Below are 25,075 nucleotides of genomic sequence, written 5' to 3'. Positions count from 1 at the left end.
AACTCTTTTGGACTGAATAAGCCCCAGATACTCTTGGTTAAGGATGAAGGAAGAAAGATACTGAGAGAAAAGAGTGAGACTGATGCTAATCTAGATAATCATAGCTCCAGAACTTAATTATAATAATTAAAGATGCAAAATTACAGTCATATTGTAAGCTACTAAAGTAAATTAATGAAGAAATCCATATAAATGGATCTATGAATGTAATTTAAAGAAGGACATGCTAAGGAAATGGAAATTATCAAACATACCTAGTAAGTATATGGTCAAACCATGGGTCTGCAAGCCATTTACATACTTGGATGGGCCATGCATGTCTTTGCAGCCCCTTTGATAAGTATATTCATCTTATTCATGAAGGAAGAGCCCTCGTGACCTAATCATCTCCCAAAAGTCCCACTTTCTAATGCCATCACCTTGGTGTGTAGGTTTCAACATATAAATTTTGGAGGGACATGAATATTTAAAGCATAGCAAGATATATAACCTATGTTATATACATAAATGCATAATACACACTTCTTTTATAGCTTTTAAGGATAAGATTTTAACTTTTTTCTATAGTAAAGTTAAAAAAATAACAACACTACTCACCATCATGTTTTGAGTCTCAAATATGCGCTGGACATTTTGTGTATATATATTCTCTCTCTCTCTATATATATATATATACACACACATATATATATAATATATAAATTTATTTAAACATCAGAAAAATACAGATAATATTTTTATTTTATTTTGTTTATTTTAATTTAATTTTAATATAAGGTATTACAATTTTAAAAGATGTTTAAAAAATTTTTGAGCCTTCCTTAAGTCTCTAAACTAATTAAAAAGCCAAGCTGATACTTGAAACTATCAGGAGCTGATTCAAAATCTAGATTAGTGAGGGAGGCAATGAAGTAAAATACATAAAAGTAATAAAGCCTAAAGAGTAGGGATGTGTGAGCACAAGCAAAACAAGTTTAAGCCTAAAGATTATTATAAGGGAAATAGTTGGACCGGCGTTAAAGCTAAGTAGGAGTTTTCTAAGTAGATAAATGTAAGGAGTTGCCTTCCAGATTGAAATATCTTGCAAAAATCTGTGTATAGATGCATAAGAAATGATCAATAATTATTGTGGGTAAAGGACTTTTTCAGAATACTTTTCAAATCATATTGCGAGTTTCTGCTATAAGCAAGTCTGAATTTGAGCCCGAGCCTGTTTTCAGAAATTGAGATGTTTCTGAGTATGCTGGAGGTCCTGTCTATTGCAGTGGACCTGAAAGAAAAATGTGTGTTGTAATAAACAATATTGCAAGGAAAGAGGGTTTCTGTGGGCTGTATTGGAATTGCGACTTCAGAGATTTTTTTTTTTTAAGTTCTTATGCTGTGAAGCATCTTTTCTTGTCACTTTGTGCCTACTTTCTGTTTTCAGTCTCCTGTTTCCCTTCTGATGTAGTTTGGACTCTGCCCAGGGCTCTATTTGTGTGTTTGTGTATGTGTGGGTGAGGATGTGGGTGTGTCTGAGTATGAGTATAAATATGACTTTCATAGCATAATATAAATCTTCAGGGCAATCATATTGCCTTCAGGAAGCTACAGATTTACTAAGGGATTCTTTACTAAGTTAAAGAAAATGAATGTGAGCTATATGACTGAGGACTAGCGTCTCTTTTAAAAACTTGACTTTAAAACATTTGCTCTTCTCCCTAGTTAGATATTTGCTTTAGTTCTGGACAAGATTGCAATTTGTTCAGACCTGTCATGCTGATTAAGCATGATTAAATTTTTAGAACTCTTAAAACTAAATATAGTTATTTACCATGATAGAAACCATAACTACAAGAAAAAAAATGACTGATAGTGGCCATTAATTAGTAAATATTTCAAAGGACACTGACATTTTTATTAGCCCTCTATATTAAGTGAATAATGCTTTGTGTTCAATGATTAGAAAAGATGAAAACTGCAGGGGAGTTTAAAACAGCTATGATAAATCTATATGCTAAGATTAAGAGGGTTTTTCTTCTGGCAGTCTCCAAAATATGCATGACATGTACTACTATTGGTATAGAGATGATTTTAAGTATTAAAGACACAACTTTAAATTACCTTGGATTACATGGGGAGAAAATGATTTTTTTTTCAATTTGGCTTCAATCTTCCTGATTGCATCATGAGAAAATTCTCACGTTGTCACTAAGCTCTATTTAACAACCCTCAGTTTTCGCTAATCTCCCTTTTTATAAAAGAGAGGTAGGCCTTAGTTGCATAGCCTTCTCCAAGCAAAGGTATTTGGTCAGAAGTTAATAATATGTTTTCATCGCATTAATTTTATACCATCTCTGTGGGCAGTTAGTTCTGGTTTCCTATCTACTAGAATAATAAAACAATTCTTAAACACATTTAATACATTTTGAGTACATTTATTTATTAAGTAATATAAAGAAAAACTATAAATTGAGACTACTATTCTCTATATTAAGATTTTTTTTTTCCTCTCAGGTTGGTTCTTTCAAAAAACAAAACAAAACAAAAAAACAAAACCTACAATAACAAACAAAAAACCCTAGTATCCAAAACTGGAATTGCATCAGGAGGCTCTAGGTTAGGACTACTTCTGACAAACAGGGTATAGAATGACCATAATTCATACAGGATGCCCAACAAATGTGGATGTAGAAGGTCAAGAATCCCTCTATTTTTTATGAGTTAGGCCAACAGTGAACATCAGACGCTAACCAGAAGGCCAAAAAATTGGCAATTATAGTCACATGGCTTTTTATTTAAATAGAAAGTTAACCAGCCATTCTTTCTTGATTCTCTATTAAATGTATCTTTTACTGAGCTGATAGAAATTCTTGCTGAAAGGGTATGAAATAATTCCCATTGTTGGAGTGTTATAACTGCTCTGATAAAGTGCCCCTTAGCCCTGTCTTCCTCTGACAACTAAACTACCAATCAGGCATGCAGTGTTATTACCTGCAGCATACCTCACTTACTAAATACAAAGTGAAGCAAACTCTTGTTTATCTCCCTCTTTGATTCCGTCTTTGAAAATTATGAGAGTTAAAAAGTGAGTAAAGTTATTTTAAAGGACACTAAAGTTCTCTCAAGATAATGTGCTTATAGAATTATAAAATGAAAAGAACACTGAAAGGATTTATTTGAAAGGATTACAGGGAAGGAGAATAAAGGGAAGGAAGTCAAAAAAAGCAAAGATTTCTAGGATTAAATGTTTTGAAAAAAGGGCATGGATGCAGATTATGCTCTTTGTTATATAAAAAAACACACCAAGGAGCTGTTCACAATTTCCAAAGTGTTGGGCTGAGAATGAAATTTGCAGAGCAGCATTGATGACTGAGTGGAACAAGGAAAACTTTGAAATGTATGTGAAGCAAGAAAAAAAAATGAGGCAAGTAGAATTACTTGGTTTTCAAGGACTAATAAATGTGTAATATTGAATTAGAGATATTTTAAAAAATGAAAAGGGAGATTATATTAGTTGACACATAATCCTGTTTTGAAAATACTCTCAGAGACACATGACCACTGTGATGAGGAATCTGGGCAGTTTCATCAATTTTAATTTCTTATGGTCATAATCGACAGATTATTTTTGGTGAAATTAAACAAAAATAATAAACCTGAGGGAAAACAGAGACATCTGTGCAACTAATCTTTTCAGCATTTGTAATAATTTATATTTATATACGTTTTTAATTAGAGAAAATATTAAAATCTATGTACTTCCAATATGACAGATACCTTACAAATGTTACTTTATTAAAAACTAGTAACAGATTTGAAACATTTGTATTAGGATCTGTGTTTTAGAGATAGGAGAAATTGTGGGGAAATTTTACTCATAAGTATTACATGACTGTGCATAATCATAGCTACCTCCTTCCTACTAAAGGGCCACACATAGCTTTACTGTTATATAACTTCAAATCCTATGATAAAAGAGATGTAAATTTGATTATTCTGTGTTTCCTCAACTATATTCCAAAGGTGTAGTTGGATTTTTTTTTTTTTTTTTTAAGAGTCTTGCTCTTTCACCCTGGCTGGAGTGTAATGGTGAGATCTTGGCTCACGGCAACCTCCACCTCCCGAGTTCAAGTGATTCTTCTGCCTCAGCCTCCTGAGTAGCTGGGATTACAGGTGTGCACCACCATGCCCAGCTAATTTTTATGTTTTTAGTAGAGATGGAGTTTCACCATATTGGCCAGGCTGGTCTTGAACCCCTGACATCTGGTGATCTGCCCACCTAGGCCTCCCAAAGTGCTGGTATTACAGGCATGAGACACGGCACCTGGCCGTAGTTGGATTTTTACTTCCAGCTATAATAGAATAACTGAAACCAGATTTATCCTTTCATCAAAAACTATGATAAAATTGGACAAAATATATCAGGCAACAGTTTTTAGGCACTGACCAACAGACCACTCGTGCTTATAATCCTAGAAAGAAGAGAAACACATGAGGGCAGTGCCATGATATCAAGAGGTTTCTACCTGGAGACATTTTTGTGCCAATGTTCATGAAGATGAAATACAAGCAGAACTGTGGTTTCACTGAGCAGATAACACAAATACTGGACTGTAAAACTGACAAGAATTTAAGGACAGTTGTTCTGAAAAGGAAGAATTGTGTGGGAGAAGAGGGTCTGAAAGAAGATTCATCACAGATAATTAACGAAGGTCTTGGCAACTTATGCTCACACTTTACAAGATTACCTGCTACAAAGCTAAAAGATGAATGGGGCTAGGAAAGGCTGTGTAGTATGGGGAAACATTAGATTTATGATCTATCCAGAGTGAAGAAACCTCATTGAGTCCTTGGTTTGATCCCAGAAAGGACAAGCCTTTGGAGTAAATAAAGCACCTAGAGCAATTACCACAATCTAAGTCCGATATATAAAGCAAAATAGGCCTTCCCTAACCAGGAATAAAATGAAGTTTGACAGAACCAGGAAGATCCAACAGGAATTTCTTCTCAGTGTGTGAGAGGAGGTAGCCAGGCAGACATGAGCAAGGCAGGAGAGTGCCCCCGCCAAGGAATATCAGACGACCATCAGGTGATGGTCAGGAAATTGTTAAACTGTCTCTCTAAACTAATAAATAGACACAGCTGGTGCCAGGAAAAGGCACATTCCCAGCAGACAGAAAACACCTGAAGCTGGTGATCAGCCGGTTCCTAAAGAGATCACAGGAGTTGGGTGACTGGGCTCAAGCATGTGGACTGAGAGGCAAAATGGCAGTTTAACTGGTAAATTATCTTCCTCTAGGAACACTTGACTGGTAAGTGAAAAAAATGCCTCTAATAAGCATGCACACAACTTCAGTAAACACACTGCTTATGCACTACTGCACATGAGAACAGCCTGCCCCAAGGTAAAATTAAGGGAAGAGAGAACCATGCCAATGTATAAAACCCCAAGTTGAAGGCCGGCAGTACATTTGGATCCCTCAAGTCACCTGTTTAGCCCTCTTCCAAGTGTACTTTACTTCCTTTTGTTTCTGTTCTAAAACATTTTAATAAGCGATTATTCCTGCTCTAAAACTTTCTTGGTCTCTCACTCTGCCTTATGCCCCTTGGAGGAATTCTTATCTTTGAGGAGGCAAGAATGAAGTTGCTGCAGACCTGTATAGATTTGCCACTGCTAATATACTTCAGTGGCATGTGACTTGGATACATTTCCCAGTGTTAAGATACCTCTATGCCTTGCCTTCTTTGCCTGGAGGTGATCAACCTCCGTAAACGGTTTGCTTCTCACCCTTCACTCTCCTGCTTACTAACCAACCCCCAGAATGATTCCTCATGGCCACAGTGGCTCTACTTCCCCTGGCAGATCTCTCAGCTCACGGGGTGGAAAGGACTTGGGCATCTGCAGCAAGTGGACCTGAGACACTAATGGCCTCCTGGACAGGACGCTCAAGACAGTGACAGGGCTAAAGCCTAAGACCAGGCAGTGTCTGGGTTTTCGTCTGCTTTTTCAACTGCATTTGGCTCTTTCCCCAAAACCTGCACTGCCTACCCTCCTGTTTTATTCTGTATGTAACCCGAAATGGGCTTGCACACTGGCTGGACACTACCTCGTGGGCAAGTGTGCCTTTTATCTGCTTTCACTTTGCATACCAGGTTACTTCCTTCTCTGCCTTAAATACACACTCACTGTTTGTTATTCGTGCACCTGTGGCACTTGCTGCTTTGCATGGCAGCAAAGAAATGGTCTCCCTTGCAGATGTCTGTTGGCTCATTACCAGGACAGACACTAATCAGAAGCCCGATTCTGCCAGCTCCTTATGACTTAAAATAAGCTTTTCATCCCTGTTACGCTCCAGGGTTGAATTTTCTGGTGGGTTTTGAAGTATTTTGTTTGTCTGCATGAGACCTCATTCTGTGGCCCTTTAAGCACTCAACCAACTTGCTTTTTTTGAGTTAGCACCCCCTCGTGAGGAAGAAAAATTCTTCCTTTGCTATTTGTGAGCCCTTATCCCAGGCCCCAAGTGTTCCAGAGGTTCCTCCTTTATGTCAAGAGGGCAAATAAACATTGCCCTTTCAAATAAAAGGGCTTCCATTTTTTGAGAGTATATGAAGGCTTTCCAAGTATTCCTCTCACTTCCTCCTACTTCCTTCTACAGCAGGGAGATTTTCCTGTCTGTTTAAGCATTTGTTCTGCATGTTACCCCAGGAGGAAGAGGAAGCCAAAATAGAAATTTTTCCTTTTCCAGAATCACTTCCAAGCCTTTCTCATTATGCATCAAGACCTTCAAGGTCATATTCGAAGGTAGAGAAGTCCAGCTCCTTGCGGCAGTTAGCTGAAAAACAGGCTTTTCATCTACTTAGAGAACATGGGAAGCGGTAATCTGAGAAAAGAGATAATTATTTTGTTGCTAGAATGCTCCAAGTGAGAGTCACTATAAGGTCCTGGAGACAAGGATATAAGCCGGCCCAAAGCCACAGGACAAGAGACAAAAGTATGCATTGGACAGAGATGAAGGCTGGTCCTAGGCTACAGGCACAGAACAGATTACCATCAGAACAGAGATGCAGGCAAGGTTAGGGGTACCTGGTAGGACTGGTTCATTCTCAAACCCCCAGGATGAATAGGGGGGGCCCTGTTTACTCCACTATCTCCTCTTTTTTCTAGTAGGTAATCTTGATGAGATAGGACCAAACTTAAGGGTACCTAGTGAGATTGGTTCATTCCAGAACCCTAAGGGTGAATGGGGACATCCTGTTGAGGGGACATCTGTTGAGGAAAGAATAACAGGGAAATAAGAGGGGACACCTTCTCTTTTCTTTTTATTTCTCCTCTGTTCTCTCTTCACAGATGAGCAATCGCATCTCCATACCACATGACATACCCCTTTGATGCATCCTCAAAAACTTGGGAAAGTTCAGTTTCCTGAAACTTTAAAACAAAAAGCTAGATTTTCTTTGTAATATGGTTTGGCCTAAAAATGAACTGGGAGAAAATTACAAAAGTCAGCCTCAGAACCCAATGCCCCTATATAGGAAATTCTCAAATTAACCTCCTCAGTTATTTAACTGAGATAAGGACAAAGAGGACAGGGCTAAGGAGAAAGAGAAGCATAGAGATGAGAGGCAGACTCAATGACTGGCTGGTTTACAAGACTGCCAGCACCCTCCAGGTTGCCCTAAGAACACTCCTTCAGGTAACAGCCATTATTAGTATGGGGAAGCCAGGCCACTGGAGGCCAAACTGTCCCAATGGGATAAATGGCAAAAAGCCCTGCATAGCTTGCCCCTTCTGCTACAAGCACAGCCATTGGAAGTGGAACTGCCCTGAGGGTTGAAGGACCCTGGGATGGAATCAGAACCCCTAATGGCCTTGAGTTGAAGGGACTTCCTGCTTTGGCTTGCTTCTAAATCAGACATTGCCATTAACAGGACAATACAAAGGGCAACTCTGGAGGTGGAAAGTAAAATTATAAATTTCCCTTTTGAGTTTAAGAGCTGCCTACTCTGTGCTAATCTCCTTCTCTAAGCAGCTTTCCTCCAAATCATGTCTGGTGATTGAGGCAAATGACACCTTCTAACTCCAAAAAAAAAAAAAAAAAAATTCACACCCCTTTATACTGCTTAGGGGACCAAATACCATTCTCTACCAGTCGCTGGTAATGCCTAAATACCCTATAACCCTTTGAGATGTGTGTCTGCTTAATATTATTCAACCTCTGAATTCATCTTTCCCTAATATAGCCCTATTTCTCCTGAGAAAGTTACCTAAATCTTTAACCAATGACTTCAAACTGGAGAGTCCTACCTCAGGGATTTAAAAATAGCTCACCCATATTCAGACAAGCCCTAGCAATAAAATCTAACTGAGCAATCTCTTGATGGGGGATAATTTCTACAGTATGTAGATAACTTATCCTTATCTGCTTCCCCTTCACAGTACTCACATAGCAACAAACCATAACTTTCTAAATTAATTCTAATATTACTTTTGTATAATTCAAAGGTTATAAAGGTAAAAAGGTATTTTTGATAAGAAATGTTACCAAAAAGAGACTTTATACAGAAAAGGATCTTACTTGGTAAATTCCTGTCCTAAAGTAAGTAAAACAAACAGTTGTTTGCAAAGAGGGATGTTTAAGACAAGTTAGAATGTTTAAGCATGTGATAGATCATCTACATTATGAAAATATTAATGAAAGGGAATTTATTAAAAAGCGTTGTACAATTTTGATTCCAAGTCAAAGGCCAAACAGTGCACTTGGTTCTCTCAAGTCACCTGCTTGGCCATCTTCAAAGTGAACGTTACTTCCTTTTGTCCCTACTGTAAAAGTTTTTAACAAACTTTCATTCATGCTCTAAAAGTTGCCTTGGACTCTTACTCTGCCTTATGTCCCTCAGAGGAATTATTTTCTTTGAGGAGGCAAGAATCGAGTTGCTGCAGACTCATATGGATTTGCCACTACTTACAAATGTACGTAAAATATTCTGGGCCATAAAATGAGTTTCAATGACTTTGAAATTATTGAAATCTTACAGAATGTGGTCTCTGACCAAAACTGAATTAAACTGGAAATCAATAGAGAAAGATATATAAAAAATTACTACATATATGAAAATTCAACAACACATCGATTAACACATTGTTCAAAGAGTAAATTAGAAAATATTTGAATCCAAACAAATACAATTGTGGAGTCAAACAAAACAGTAACTTTAAAGAAGTTTACAGCTTTAAATGTTTGTTATAAAAAGTACAAAAATTTAAAATAAGTGATTTGTTTCTACATATTTTACTTATTTTCTATCCTAAAGTAAGTAAAATAAACAGTTGTTTGAAAAGAGAGATGTTTAGGACAAGTCAGAATGTCCAAGCCTAACATAGATGGTATACATTGTGAACATATTCATAAAAGGGAGTTTACTAAAAAATGTTGTACAATTTTGACCACATGTCAAAGACCAAACATAAGGAGATGACAAAATAAGGTCAAATGAGACACAAACAGTGTATATAGAAGTAAATGATAAAGATAAGAGATAAACTCAATAAAATAGAAAATGAATAATAGAGAAAATTAAAGTAGCCTAAGTCAGTTCTTTGAAAAGATTAATAAAATTGCTAAAGATTTAATATTAATCAAAAGAAAGGAGAAAATGTATTTTGAATTTCAGGAATGAATGAAGTGATATCACTGCAGATTTCACATATATTAAAAATAATAAGGAAATATTTAAACAACTTTATGCCAGTAAATTTGACACAACTGACACAAGAAATATAAATCTAAGTTATTGACTATCTAAATTTATAATAGGAACTTCACAAAAGCATGCATATCAATGACTAAATGCATGTGAAGAGGGGCTCAATATCAGAGAAATGCAAATTAAACCAGGTGATACCACTTTACTGTCTCTAGAATCACTATGATTAAAGAGATTATCAACATAAAATGTTGGTGAGCATATGGAACAACTGTGAATTTCAGATATTTTTGGTGGTTGTGTAATATGGTACAACCACTTTGGAAAATAATTTAGTAGTTTCTTATAAGTTAAATAAGTATCAATGGTCTAAGAATTCCTCTTGTAGGATTTTACCCAAGGCTAACAGAAACATAGATTCAAAAGATACTTGTTCAAAACTGTTTGTAGAAACTATTTATTCACCTATTTATAAATTCCAAAATCTAAAAATTTTAATGGGAAATTGGGTAAATAAACTTTTTAAATTTAGAATAATATACCACTAAGCAATAATAAAGAAAGTACTACTGATTTTGAAACTGCCTCTACAAAATTATGACAGTAAAAGAAATATGACATAGTTGACTCCATCTTGAGGCTAACCTCCAAGATGTCCTTGTTCATACTGGCTTTTTGAGATGTCTTTTCAGACTTCTGCCTTTTTGACCACTGGCTGACTCCACCAGACCTAGGACTGATTCAGCTGTTTCAGTGGCCCCCACACAGAGTCTGAGGCAGCACATAAGGACAGTTTTTTTACACCCCTATAATTTTATCCTCAACCAATCCACATTCCCCATTCCCTAGCCCCATGCCCACCAAACTGTCCTTTAAAGACCCTAACCTAAGAGCCTTAGGAGAGATTGATTTGAGGAGTAAATCTGTCTCCCTCATAACCAGCCTTGTGTCAATTAAACTCTTTTTTTATTGCAATGTCATGATCTCAGTGAATTAATTATGTCTGTGCAGTGGGCAGGAAAGGAACCATCAGTCAATTACAATTTTGCAAACAACATAGATGGATCTCTAAAACATGCTCTGCAAAAGAAATCAGACACAAAAAATTTTACTCACATGAAATTTAATAACTATGTTGAGAAAAAACATAACATTTGTTACTTATAGGAGGAATGCAGAGGGACCAGAGGGGTAAAGGAAATTTTTTGAAAAAGTGAAAATAATCTCTGTCTTTTTGGGGGTTAGGTTTGAGAATGTAAATCTCTGTTAAAACTTGTCAAATTGTTCACTTAATATCCCTGCATTTCACTCTGTAAAATTTACCTCATTAAAAACTATATACACACCTATATATTTATACATATGGCAAAAATTAAGAAAAAAGATAATTATATACACAAATATTTGATAATTTTCAATTACTCAATTTTCAAATGGTTAAAATGACACCTAGGAGATAAAATTGCTAGCCCAGATTTTGGTCATTATTAGAAAAAAATTATACATGTCTATGTACACGTAAGTATTGTATACATATATTTTTATGCACATGAACACACATATGCTTACAGTCACCAACTTGCAACAGTTTGACTTATAATTTTTCTTTTGATGGTACATAGATGATATGCATTCAGTAGAAACAGTACCTTAAATTTTAAATTTTGATCTTTTCCTGGGCTGGTGGTACTCTATTCTCTTGAGTACTCTCTAAAATAATGATTAAAACTATAGTATAATAAGTTAATAAAACAGTGTCACAATAGTTTTAGGATTATTATCAATTATTATGTGCTGTACATAATTGTATGTGCTATGTTTTTATATGACTGGCAGCGCAGTAGGTTTGTTTACACCAGCATCACTACAAACATGTGAGTAATGTGTTGTGCAATAACATTAAGACAGCTGTGATGTCACCAGGTGTCAAGAATTTTTGAGCTCCATTATAATTTCATGAGCCCATAGTCATATATATGTGGTCTATTATTTACCAAAACATAATTTTGTGGCACATGACTATATTTTATTTATTTATTTCTTTGCTTAATCTTTCTAAAAATCTTATACAATTTGTTCCTGAGATATGTATGCAGCAAACAAATTAGATTGTGTTTTTTAATAAACCTTGAAAACAAAAGAATAAAAGATTTTTGCTTTGTTAATATTTGCATAGTAAATACATAGTATAGCATTAAGCTCTTAGCACTATACTTTCCCATAGTAATATGTAAAATGAAATATATACACACATACACCTATACATGCATATATATTTCAGCTATAGTTAAGATAAAACAATTAATGAAATTTAAATGACCTAACCTCTGCATGCGGTTTTAAAATACACACACAAACAGTAGGGAGAATATTTTTATTTTGAAAAATACAGTTAAAAATAAATAATAAATGTAAAATTTGAAATCACTTTGATGTAATAATTTATAGGTAAAATTAATGATGTTAGTTCCTGCCAAATACTATGAAACAAGAAAAAATACCATAAGATGAGACATTTTAAATAATTATTTAGGTATAACAGGCATAAGTGATAGAATTGATGGCAAAACAGGGTAGAGATTTTTTTCTCTACTCTCTAAAGTACAGGAAAACATATATGTGTTATAAATGAACAGTTCATATATAATTTTTAATATACATACTGAATTAGTCAGGATTCTCCAGAGGACTAGAACGAATAGGATATAGGTAAACATGAAAGAGAGTTTATTACAGAGAATTGACTCATGCAATCACAAGGTAAAGTCCCACCATAGGCCATCTGCAAGTTGAGGAGCAAGGAAGCCAGTAGTGGATCAGTCCCAGTCCCAAGACCTCAAAAGTAGGGAAGCAGACAGTGCAGCCTACAGTCTGTGGCCAAAGGCCTGAGAGCCCCTAGAAAACCACTAGTGTAAGTCCAAGAGTCCAAAAGCTGAAGAATTTGGAATCTGATGTTCCAGGGCAGGAAGCATCCAGCACAGGAGAAAGATGAAGGCTGGAAGACTCAGCAAGTTCTTCTTCCACCTTCTTCTGCCTGTTCTATTCTGGCTGTCCTGGCAGCTGATTAGATGGTGCCCACCCAGATCGAAGGTGGGTATGTCTCTCCCAGTCCACTGACTCCGATGTTAATCTCCTTTGGCAACACCCTCAAAGACACATCCAAAAACAATACTTTGCATCCTCAATCCAATCAAGTTGCCACTCAATATTAACCATCACAGATCCACCCCGTCAACTTGAACCCATACACATCTCCTGAAATCATACATAATCTTCAAATAAAGACAGTAATAAGTTCATAATTATGCCTAACATGATACGGCTGTCCCTCATACAACAGGAAGCACACTATTCTTTAACCTAAGAGGTATTACATAAAGTTAACAATACTTAAATGCTGACGTGAAGTTAATAAATCTTATGTCACATAATAAAGGAAAAAGAAATGAAATAAAATGAAGATATTTTCTTAGTGCAAGAGTATACATGCACAAACATATTCTTAACAAAATAAGGAAGAAATATTCTTGACAATTACAGTTCTCATTTCTGCAACAGGTCACATGGTCATAGCTAGCATTGATGACTACCTTCTTTTACTACCCATTCTGTATTCCCTTTGCCTTCAGCAACTGACTCAGTGGGTCATGGTTTTTCACCTGGTGGAGTGACCCAAACCTTCATTTCTTAAGGGTATGAGCCATTTGTAGTCCTGCCTGGATTGGGATGTTGTAGTTTCCCATTGACCTTAATTACAGGGCATGGTAATACTAAGAGACATCCTAAGGGATTTCCTATATTCCAGACATACTCTTCCTTACCTCCATTGTGGAGTAGTAGACTGATTTCTTCTTGATAGTCCAGGTGAGTCATCCCAGCAAATGCCGTAACTCCCTTCTTAGCCTATTGTCTTAGAGGTAGGAAGAGCCCCAAGTGGCCAGGTGGCAATCTTAACTTCCAGTTTAATGGAACCATTTTTGTGTCTTCTGGTGGCAGCATTCCTCCCTTAGGAACTAAGACCTCTAGGCCAGAAGAACATAATGTCACTGGAACAGGAAGCAAGAATTTTGCTAGTGGGTCACTGGGGGTGATGGTGAGCGGTGCCACTTCAACTTCCACTCCTTCATTCCAGGGCCTATGAGTCCTGGATATGGGAGAAACAGTACCATATATTAGATGCCGATTCTGAGCATATACAGATTCCTGGAGAACTTTGCCCTATCCCTACAAAATATTGCCACCTGGTGGGCACTGTAATTGTGACTTCAAAAGGCCATTCCACTATTCTATCAATCCATCTGCTTCAGAATGATGGGGGAACATGGTAAGATCAGTGAATTCCATGAGCATGAACCCACTGCCACACTTCTTTAGCTGTAAAGTGAGTGCCTGGGTTAGAGGCAATGCTGTGTGGAATACCATGATAGCAGATAAGGCATTCCATGAATGCATGGATGGTAGTCTTGTCAGAAACATGGTGTGCAGGATAGGCAAACCCATGCCCAGAGTAACTGCCTATTCCAATGATGACACACCACTGCCTTTTCCAAGATAGAAAGGTCCAATATAATGAACTTGCCATGATAGGCCATCTGAAAGTTATTAAACAAGGAAGCCAGTAGTGAGTCACTTTGAGTCCCAAGGCCTCGAAAGTAGGGAAGCCGACAGTGCTGCCTACAGTCTGTATCCAAAAACCCAAGAGCCCCTGGCAAACCACTAGTGTTAAGTCCAAGAATTTAAAAGCTAAAGAACTTGGAGTCTGATGTTCCAGGGCAGGAAGCATCCAGCATGGGAGAAAGATGAAGGCTGGAAGACTCAGCAAGTTCTTCTTTTCCCTTCTTTTACCTGCTTTGTTCTGGCAACTCTGGTAGCTGATCAGATGGTGTCCACCCAGATTGAGGGTGGGTCTGCATCTCCCAGTCTACTGACTCCAGTGTTAATCTCCTTGGGCAACACCCTCACAGACATATCCAGAAAAAAACTTTGAAATCCAATCAAATTGGATTGGATTCATTCCAATCAAGTTGACACTCAATATTAACCATCACACATATAAACTATATTTTACACAGGGGGGTCCAATCTTTTGGTTTATCTGCACCATATTGAAAGAAGAATTGTCTTGGGCCACACATAAAATACAATAACACTAATGATAGCTGATGAGCTAAAAAAATAAATAAATAAGTCTGTGCATAAATATCGTAATGTTTTCAGGAAGTTTAAGAGTTTGTGTTGGGCCGCAATTTACACACATAAATTCACCTAAGTGGCTCTCCAACTTGTCTTTAAAAAGTACGAATTTCCATATTAAAGTAAATGGACTGGCAGTCTTAAGTATTTGTGTTTGTGATTCATGTTGTAAAAGATACATATTTTCCACTATGGTATAATTTTAAAATATATTTGAACTGGAGTATATTAACCATAGTATATTTATCATAAAATATATTTAAAATATATTTTAACTGGAGTATATTAACTACAGTATATTTACCATAAAATATATTTAAAATATATCTTAACTGGAGTATATTAACTATAGTATATTTAACTGACCAGATATGATCAATATGCTAGTATCAGTTAAATCTGAGTTATGAGTTTTAGCGTTTTTTTTTAAATGTGGGTGTCTATGTTTGCTTTTAATTTTATAATGAGCGTGAATCATTCATCTTGAGAGTGTTGGGAAACTGTTATTAAAAATAATTTTTCCCCATCCCCAAAAACCTTTCCACAAATTTAGTAGAGAAAGAAAACAGTTTTATTGTTGAGTAAGCATTAAAGCAGGATATAATGTGCATCACAAGCCATCTCCTAAGAAATTCTCTTAATTTTCACTCTTTTATATGACCAGGCAGTTACAACAATATCATACATATTCTCTTTTTTTTTTTTTTTTTTTTGAGATGGAGTCTTGCTCTGTTGCCCCAGGCTGAAGTGCAGTGGCATGATCTTGGCTCACTGCAAGCTCCACCTCCCAGGTTCATGCCATTCTCCTGCCTCAGCCTCCCCAGCAGCTGGGACTACAGGCGCACGCCGCCATGACCCGATAATTTTTTCTATTTTTAGTAGAGACGGGATTTCACCGTGTTAGCCAGAATGGTCTCAATCTCCTGACCTTGTGATCCGCCCACCTTGGCCTCCCAAAGTGCTGGGATTACAGGCGTGAGCCGCCCTGCCCGGCCCATACATATTCTTAAGGTGAACAAAAACTAGTTCTCAAGTGGAGAACTTGACAGCACCATTTGTCACACATAATTTATTCTAGATTCACCTGGTAATTAAAGTGACCATTTGTGCTAGCTAATTGGCTTTATCCAGAGGAAAAAGAAACTTCTCATATCTTTATGAGGAGGTAGTTGTGCAACTTGGATGAAGGGGCGCACTGAAGTCAAACTCTGATCTTTCCACAGAGACTATGCCTAGAGGCCCTATCTCCCTTGTTTACATACTGAATGGATGGTTCCTGAATCTTCAAGAAAGGCATTCCTGAATCACAAAAGGGCTATCTAGTTTTCAAAAAAAAAAAAAAAAGTGCATATTTTAAAGAGAGGATAAAGTACTTATAATTTTTTTAAAGTAAATGCTGGAAGATAAAAGGAGAGAAGTCTCTTTTCAATAGAGATGATTAAGCCTCTTATGTTAATTTTAATTTGTCTCTAAAAGAGGTAAATCACAATAACTTTTAAACTTCAATAAAACATATTATGTCATTTGTTAAACAACTATATGCCAATGAGTACCTTTGTTAAAAAAAAAGGAGCTTACAGTTTCATAGTAAAGGGTGGGTTACTACCCTTTGCTATGGGTAAAGGTGGAGACATTTCACAAGTAATAGTAATGCATCCTCAAATGCACAACATATATGAAAGTGATTCAGTCAGGGCATAAAAGATAGATTATTTCTGCTTAACTTTTAAGAGGCAAGGTTAAGGTAATCTTACCGAGGACTTTTTGGGGGTAATATATAAATTGAGCCCAAAAATGTCCAGGGATTGTCATTTGGACATGGAAGAGAATTTTTTTCTTCAGGTAAGGGGCAGGTGCAAAGTCACTAAATCAAGGCTCAGTATGGTGTGATTTTAACAATGCCAATTGTGCAAAAAATAGAACAGGAAATTGATTAGTAAGACCCAAATCAGAAAGTGCTTTACATAAAAATGCTACTAATTTGATACATAGTTATTTAGAAAACAGAAATCTAGTGAATGTTTTAAAGCAGGATAGTGGCATGAATAGATTTGCATTTTGGATAACTTTCATTTGCGTCCGTGTGAAGATACCACCAAACAGGCTTTGTGTGAGCAGCAAGGCTGTTTATTTCACCTGGGTGCAGGCGGGCTGAGTCTGAAAAGAGAGTCAGCGAAGGGAGGTAGGGGTGGGGCCATTTTATAAGATTTGGGTAGGTAAAGGAAAATTACAGTCAAAGGGGGGTTGTTCTCTGGAGGGCAGGAGTGGGGGTCACAAGGTCCTCAGTAGGGGAGCTTTTGAGCCAGGATGAGCCAGGAGAAGGAATTTCACAAGATAATCAGTTAAGTCAGGAACAGGCCATTTTCATTTCTTTTGTGGTGGAATGTCATCAGTTAAGGCAGGAACCAGCCATCTGGATGTGTACGTGCAGGTCATAGGGGATATGATGGCTTAGCTTGGGCTCAGAGGCCTGGCATTCCTGTCTTCTTATATTAATAAGAAAAATAAAATGAAATAGTGGTAAAGTGTTGGGACGGCAAAAATTTTGGGGGATGGTATGGAGAGATAATGGGCGATGTTTCTCAGGGCTGCTTCAAGCGGGATTCGGGGTGGCATGGGAACCTAGAGTGGAAGAGATTAAACTGAAGGAAGATTCTGTGGTAAGGGGTGATATTGTGGGGTTGTTAGAAGAAACATTTTTCGTGTAGAATTATTAGTGATGGCCTGGATATGGTTTTGTATGAATTGAAAAACTAAACGGAATAAGAGAAGGAGAAAAACAGGTATTAAAGGTCTAAGAATTGGGAGGACCCAGGACATCTAATTAGAGAGTGCCTAAGGAGATTCAGCATAGTCCTACCAGCACACATTATTTATTTACTTTAAGAGTTAAGAGTGGCGGTTTGGGGATAGCACCAGGAGATATCAGCTGTGATAGCTTGGAGAAACAGTGTTAATCTGCAGTGTAAACAAGAGCAGGGCATTTATGAGTAGTTGAGAACGGTGGATAGGAGTATGACTGGACAGAAAATAGTAGGGATGATAAGTTTTTTGGGGCACAGTCTAAGTTGGTCTGGTGTCTGGGATGAGACTGGGGCCTAATAAAAAGGAGCATCTGTACAGGAGCTCAAATGCGCTGTACTTTGTAGCATTCTGAGGACAGGCCTAAATTCTGAGAAGGGAAAGTGGTAAAAGTATTGTCCATTCCTTTTTAAGTTGGTGGCTGAGCTTGGTGAGGTGTGTTTTTAAAAGACCTTTAGTCCGTTCTACTTTGCATGAAGACTGAGGACTGTAAGGGATGTAAAGGTTTCACTGAATACCAAGAGCCTGAACAACTGCTTGGCTGATTTGATTAATAAAGGCTGGTCCACTATCAGACTACATAGAGGTGGGAAGGCCAAACTGAGTAATTATGTCTGACAGAAGGGAAGAAATGACTGCGGTGGACTTCTCAGACTCTGTAGGAAAGGCCTCTACCTATCCAGTGAAAGTGTCTATCTAGACTAAGAGGTATTTTAGTTTTCTGACTCAGGGCATGTGAGTAAAGTCAATTTGCCAGTCCTGGGCAGGGGCAAATCCCTGAGCTTGATGTGTGGGAAAGGGAGGAGGCCTGAACAATCCCTGAGGGGTGGTAGAACAGCAGATGGAACACTGAGAAGTGATCTCCTTGAGGATAGATTTCCATGATGGAAAGGAAATGAGAGGTTCTAAGAGACTGGCTAGTGGCTTGTAACTTACATGGAAGAGATTATGAAATGACGACAGAATAGAATGGGCCTGTGAGGCTAGAAGGATTTATTTTCCTTGATCTAAGAACCATTTGCCTTGTGTGGGAAGAGATTGATAGGTGGAAGTTTCAGCGGGGGAGTAGGTGGGAGTGGCCAGATGAGAAGGAGAAAAACTGAAAGTGAGGGATATAAGTTGGAATGCTAGCTGCTTTTTTAGCTATCTTATCAGCATAAGCATTTTTCTGAGCAATGGGATCTGATGCCCTTTGATGGCCTTTGCAGTGAATGACTCCAGCTTCCTTTGGAAGTAAAGCAGCTTTGAGAAGCGTTTTTATTAAAGAAGAATTAATGATAGAGGACCCTTGTGTAGTGAGGAAACTTCTTGCATGGTGGTGCAGGACATGGAAGGCATATTTAGAGTAAGTATAAATATTGATGTTTAGTCCTTTGGCAAGATTGAGGGCTTGACTTAAGGCAATGAGTTCGGCTTGCTGAGAGGTAGTGGAGTGGGGCAGAGCAGTAGCCTCAATGATAGATGTGGAAGATACTATAGCATAGCCTGCCTTTCCTGGTGAGTGGCGATTAGGCCTGGTGGAACTTGCCATCAATAAAATAAGTGTGTTCAGGGTGAGGAACATGAAAGAATATGGGGAAATGGAGTGAATGTCAGGTGGATCACATAGATACAGTCATGGGGGTCAGGTGTGATATCAGGAATAATGTGGGAGGCCGGACTGAAGTCTTGGCCAGGAACAATGGTAATTGTGGGAAACTCAACAAAGAGTGAGTACAGCTGAAGGAGCCAGGGAGCAGAAAGTATATGTGTCAGGTGTGAGGAAGAAAATAGATTTTGGAAGTTATGAGAACTGTAGAGAGTGAGTGGAGCACAGTTTGTGATTTTAAGGGCCTCTAAAAATATTAGGGCAGTGGCAGCCACCACACGCAGACTTGAGGGCTCGGCAAAACAGTAAGGTCAAGTTTTTTGGTTAAAAGGCTGCAGAGTGCAGTCCTGGTCCTTGTGTAAGAATTCTGACACACAGCCCTGCACTTCGGCTGTGTGTAATGAAAAGGGTTCGGATGAGTCAGGGAGAGTTAGGGTCGGGGTAGTCTCTAAAGCTGTCTTCAAGGAATGGAAAGAGGAGTGAGGAAAGGATTTAGGATCTATGGGGCCAGCTAGGTTTCCTTTTGTGAGTTTTTATAATGGTTTTGTTAGGATGGCAAAACCAGATATCTAGGAAGGAAAAGAGTTGTTGTTTTGTAGAAGGGATTGAGGTTTGGGAGATTAGTCAGACACGATCAGCAGGGAGAGCACGTGTGTTTTTATGAGAATTATGCCGAGATAGGTAACAGATGAGGATGAAATTTGGTCTTGACTGAAGTAATGGGGGCTATCTGTGAAGCCTTGTGGCTGTACAGCCCAGGTAATTTGCTGAGCCTGATGGGTGTCAGGGTCAGTATAAGTGAAAGTGAAGAGAGGCTGGGATGAAGGGTGCAAAGGGATAGTAAAGAAAGCATGTTTGAGATCCAGAACAGAATAATGGGTTGTGAAATGAATAATGTGGAGGGAGGTATTGAGGATAGGAGAGTATATGGGCTTGGCACTACAGGCCAGGTAGGCAAAACAATTTGGTTGATAAGTCTCAGATCCTGAACTAACCTGCAAGGCTTGTCTGGTTTTAGGACAGGTAAAATGGGGGAATTGTTAGGGGAGTTTATAGGCTTTAAAAGGCCACGCTGGAACAGGCAAGTGATAACAGACTTTAATCCTTTTAAAGAGTTCTGTGGGATGGGATATTGGCATTGAGCAGGGTAAGAGTGATTAGATTTTAATGGGATGGTAAGGGGTGGATGATCGGTCACTAAGGAGGGAATAGAGGTGTCTTATACTTGTGGGTTAAGGTGGGGAGATACAAGGGGAGGATGTGAAGGAGGTTTTGAACTGGGGGAAAAGGCAGCAATGAGGTGTGGCTGTAGCCCAGGAATAGTCAGGGAAGCAGATAATATAGTTAAAGTGTCTCGGCCTAATAAGGGAACTGGGCAGGTGGGGATAACTAAAAAGGAGTGCTTAAAAGAGTGTTGTCTAAGTTGGAACCAGAATTGGGGAGTTTTAAGAGGTTTAGAAGCCTGGCTGTCAATACCTACAACAGTTATGGAGGCAAGGGAAACAGGCCCTTGAAAAGAAGGTAATGTGGAGTGGGTAGCCTCCGTATTGATTAAGAAGGGGACGGACTTACCTTCCACTGTGAGAGTTACTTAAAGCTCGGCATCCGTGATTGTCTAGGGGGCTTCCGAGGCAATCAGGCAGTGTCAGTCTTCAGCTGCTAAGCTGAGACGATCTGGGAAGGAGTCAGTCAGAGAGCCTTGGGCCAGAGTTCCAGGGGCTCTGGGAGTGGCTGCCAGGTGAGTTGAACAGTCTGATTTTCAGTGGGGTCCTGCACAGATGGGACGTGGCTTAGGAGGAATCCCGTGCTGTGGGCATTCCTTGGCCTGGTGGCCAGATTTCTGACACTTGTAGCAAGCTCCTGGGGGAGGAGGTTCTGGAGGAATGCCTGGCTGCTGCAGTTCAGGCGTTTGGAAGTTCTTGTGTCCTGGAGATTTGGCTGGGGTTTGTCTGACAGTGGAGGCAAGGAATTGCAACTTTTTTCTATTATTGTACACCTTGAAGGCGAGGTTAATTAAGTCCTGTTATGGGGTTTGAGGGCAGGAATTTAATTTTTGGAGCTTTATTTAAAGTCTGGAGCGGATTGGGTAATAAAATGTATATTGAGAATAAGACGGCCTTTTGACCTTTTAGGGTCTAGGGCTGTAAAGTGTCTCAGGGTTGCTGTCAAATGGGCCATGAACTGGGTTGGGTTTTTCATATTTGATGAAAAAGAGCCTAAACGCTCTCTGATTTGGGATAAAGAAAAAGGAGCATTAACCTTGACTATGCCTTTAGCTCTAGCCACCTTTTTAAGAGGAAATTGCTGGGCAGGTGGGGGAGGGCTAGTCATGGAACGAAACTGTAAGCCAGACTGGGTGTGAGGAGGGGAGGTGATAAAAGGATTATAGGGTGGAGGAGCAGAGGCTGAGGAAGAATTGGGACCTAGCTTGGCCTGGCGAGGAGGGGAGAGGTCAGATGGGTCTGTAGAAAAGGAAGATTAGAAAGACTCGGTGACACTTGGGGTTGGGACTGACGGGACAGGCGGGAAGGAAAGAAGGAAGATTTGGGACGAGTTCCACTGGGAACAGAGACTAGGGAGGGACTAATGTGTAAAAGAATGCTTGGACATCAGGCATCTCAGACTGTTTGCCTATTTTATGACAAGAATTATTTAGATCTTGTAGGATGGAAAAATTGAAAGTGCCATTTTCTGGCCATTTAGAGTCATTGTCAAGTTTGTATTGGGGCCAAGCGGTGTTGCAGAAGAAGATAAGGCATTTAGGTTTTAGGTCAGGTGTGAGTTGAAGAGGTTTTAAGTTCTTCAGAACACAGGCTAAGGGAGAAGAAGGAGGGATGGAGGGTGGAAGTTTGCCTACAGTGAAAGAGGCAAGCCTAGAGAAAAGAGAGAGTAGAGACATGGAGGGAAGGGTTTGAGGGGTTCTTACTTTCTAGAAAAGCGGGAAAGGGGTCGGGGCGTGGAAATAAGGGATCAGGGTGCAGAGATAAGATGTCGGGGCATGGAAATAAGGGATGGAGCACAGAGATAAGAGGTTGGGGCGTGGAAATAAGGGATCAGGGCCCAGAGATAAGAGGTTGGGGTGCAGAAATAAAGGATCCGGGTGCAGAAATAAGGGGTCGGCGTCCAGAAATAAGGGATCGAGGTGCACAGATAAGGGGTCGGGGTGCGGAAATAAGGGATTGGGGGATTCTTGCCCCCTAGAAAAGCAGAGAAGGGGTAGAGACACAGAGAGAAGGAGTTGGGGTTCTTGCCCCTCCTCTAGAAAAGCGGGACTTGCCACTAAGGGTGAAGGAGCAAGGCAGGTGTCCTTGCATGGTCAGACACCTCTGAAACATGGGTGAATAATCAGAGAGGCATCCTTGCAATGATTAAACACCAAGGGAAGGCTGCCTTCCTGAGTCCGTGACCGGCGCCGGAGTTTTGGGTCCACAGATAAAACATGTCTTCTTTGTCTTTACCAGAAAATGAAAGGAATTGAAATTAAGAGAAGGGAGAGATTGAAGGGTGGCACCAAGATTGAAAGGAGAAGGTGGTTGAGGGATAGTGAGAGAGGTTGGAGAAGAGAGTAAGAAGAGACCGCTTACCTGATTTAAAATTGGTGAGATGTTCCTTGGGCTGGTGGGTCTGAGGACCTGAGGTTGTAGGTGGATCTTTTTCAGGGAGCAAAGAGCAGGAGGACAGGGAATTGATCTCCCAAGGGAGACTCCCTGATCTGAGTCATGGCACCAAATTTCATGTGCGTCTGTGTGAAGAGACCACCAAACAGGCTTTGTGTGAGCAACAAGGCTGTTTATTTCACCTGGGTGCAGGTGGGCTGAGTCCAAAAAGAGTCAGTGAAAGGAGATAGGGGTGGGGCCATTTTATAAGATTTGGGTAGGTAAAGGAAAATTACAGTCAAACGGGGGTTCTCTGGTGGGCAGGAGTGGGGGTCACAAGGTACTCAGTAGGGGAGCTTTTGAGCCAGGATGAGCCAGGAGAAGGAATTTCACAAGATAATGTCATCAGTTAAGTCAGGAATGGCCATTTTCATTTCTTTTGTGATGGAATGTCATCAGTTAAGGCAGGAACTGGCCCTCTGGTTGTGTACGTGCAGGTCACAGGGGATATGATGGCTTAGCTTGGGCTCAGAGGCCTGACAATAACTTAATGTAAGGAATCTCTTCTGAGAAAAATTGAATCGGAAGGTTTGCATTTTATCTTTTTCTTAACTACTCAGGCAAGGAAGTCAACTTCCCTGCTAGGTCCTACAGGCTCTCCAACTTGTCTTTAAAAAGCAAAAATTCCCATATTAAAGTAAATTGACCAGCAACCTTAAATATTTGTGTTTGTGACTCATGTTGTAAAATACATGTACTCTGCACTATGGTATAATTTTAAAATATATTTTAATTTTTTTTTTTTTTTTTTTGAATACCAGAAGACTTTTTTTTTTCCTTTTTTTTTTTTTTATTATTATACTTTAAGTTTTAGGGTACATGTGCACATTGTGCAGGTTAGTTACATATGTATACATGTGCCATGCTGGTGCTCTGCACCCACTAACTCGTCATCTAGCATTAGGTATATCTCCCGATGCTATCCCTCCCCCCTCCCCCCACCCCACCACAGTCCCCAGAGTGTGATATTCCCCTTCCTGTGTCCATGTGATCTCATTGTTCAATTCCCACCTATGAGTGAGAATATGCGGTGTTTGGTTTTTTGTTCTTGCGATAGTTTACTGAGAATGATGATTTCCAATTTTAACTTTTATTTTTGAGATTACTAAGATCAATTGAGGCATTTTATTCTGACTATAGCCATCTACATTTCCAGCTTTCTTTGTCATCCTTGTCAACCTGAAATAACAGAAAGGATCAGAATCCAGTTTTAAAAAGTTTATTCAACTGAAAAACTGTGAATAGCTATCTGATAAATATGAACTCAAGAGAAATGGGGTCAGTACTCCAAAGTTAAAAGTTAAGGTCTTGCTTATATAGGCATAAAACAAAACAACTTAGTAGGATTGTAATATTTTCTATACAAGGCTTGTTTATGAGTTACAATAATTTAATTAGTTACAGCTTGTTTTCTTTTTCATACAGCTGATTTTCTTTTGTTGACAGTTTGTTTTAATTTCCTTTCCAACTTAAAAGAGTGTACTTAACATTCCATTTTCGACCATATGAGAATGTTAAGAGGAAAGTTAATCTACAACGAAGGTCAACAGTGAAGAGAAAAGGGGTCTTCCTTGGTGCCCTTTAGTTATTTACAACATTTTACAAAACAATATAAGTAAGGAAGAAGGTGAATCTAGTTAGAGAAACAAAGCTCTTAGCTACCTAGATTACAGCTGCTGTCATGGGACTCACTTCTCATAATCACATGCCCTTGAAACTCAAAAATATTTTACAGTTTCAACAGCTTAGATTTTGAATTACTTATTTTCACACCTTCCAAATGTAGCCTGACTTCTCAATGGCTTCTTATTATGAGGTTTCTTGACTTTCCCTCCTGCATTACTTACCTTGATCTCATTCTGGCTGCTGTCCTTATTGTACCACAGAAGCTGATCTTAGTAATGTTTAATCCAAAATATATTTGTCATTCATCACTGTTCTTCATGTCTTAACAGTAGTTGGGCAAGTTAGCCTTTATTTGTTTGAGACACATTTTTGCCATTGATATTTATAACACTATTGTCCAACATTTTAGTCTCTATTTTTCATTCTCTACTGATGGCCTTTCTATTTTCCTGCCTTTTTGTAAAATGTAAGTATTACTCAGTGTTTTGTTTTGATTTGTTTTTCCTTTTTCCTTTCCATCATA

At 38.8% G+C, this 25,075-nt stretch overlaps 1 annotated feature.

The window, feature by feature from the left end:
- Positions 23,023 to 23,579: an enhancer, noted in NCBI's record as "OCT4-NANOG hESC enhancer chr3:163625147-163625703 (GRCh37/hg19 assembly coordinates)". NCBI's record gives its function as "activates a minimal SCP1, AML or CMV promoter by ChIP-STARR-seq in naive and primed H9 embryonic stem cells {active_cell/tissue: H9 hESC(naive and primed)}" and the evidence as "EXISTENCE:reporter gene assay evidence [ECO:0000049][PMID:30033119]".

The sequence above is a fragment of the Homo sapiens genome, chromosome 3 (assembly GCF_000001405.40).
Source record: "Homo sapiens chromosome 3, GRCh38.p14 Primary Assembly".
Classification (NCBI taxonomy): Eukaryota; Metazoa; Chordata; class Mammalia; order Primates; family Hominidae; genus Homo; species Homo sapiens.
This window is presented reverse-complemented; position numbering and strand designations above follow the sequence as displayed.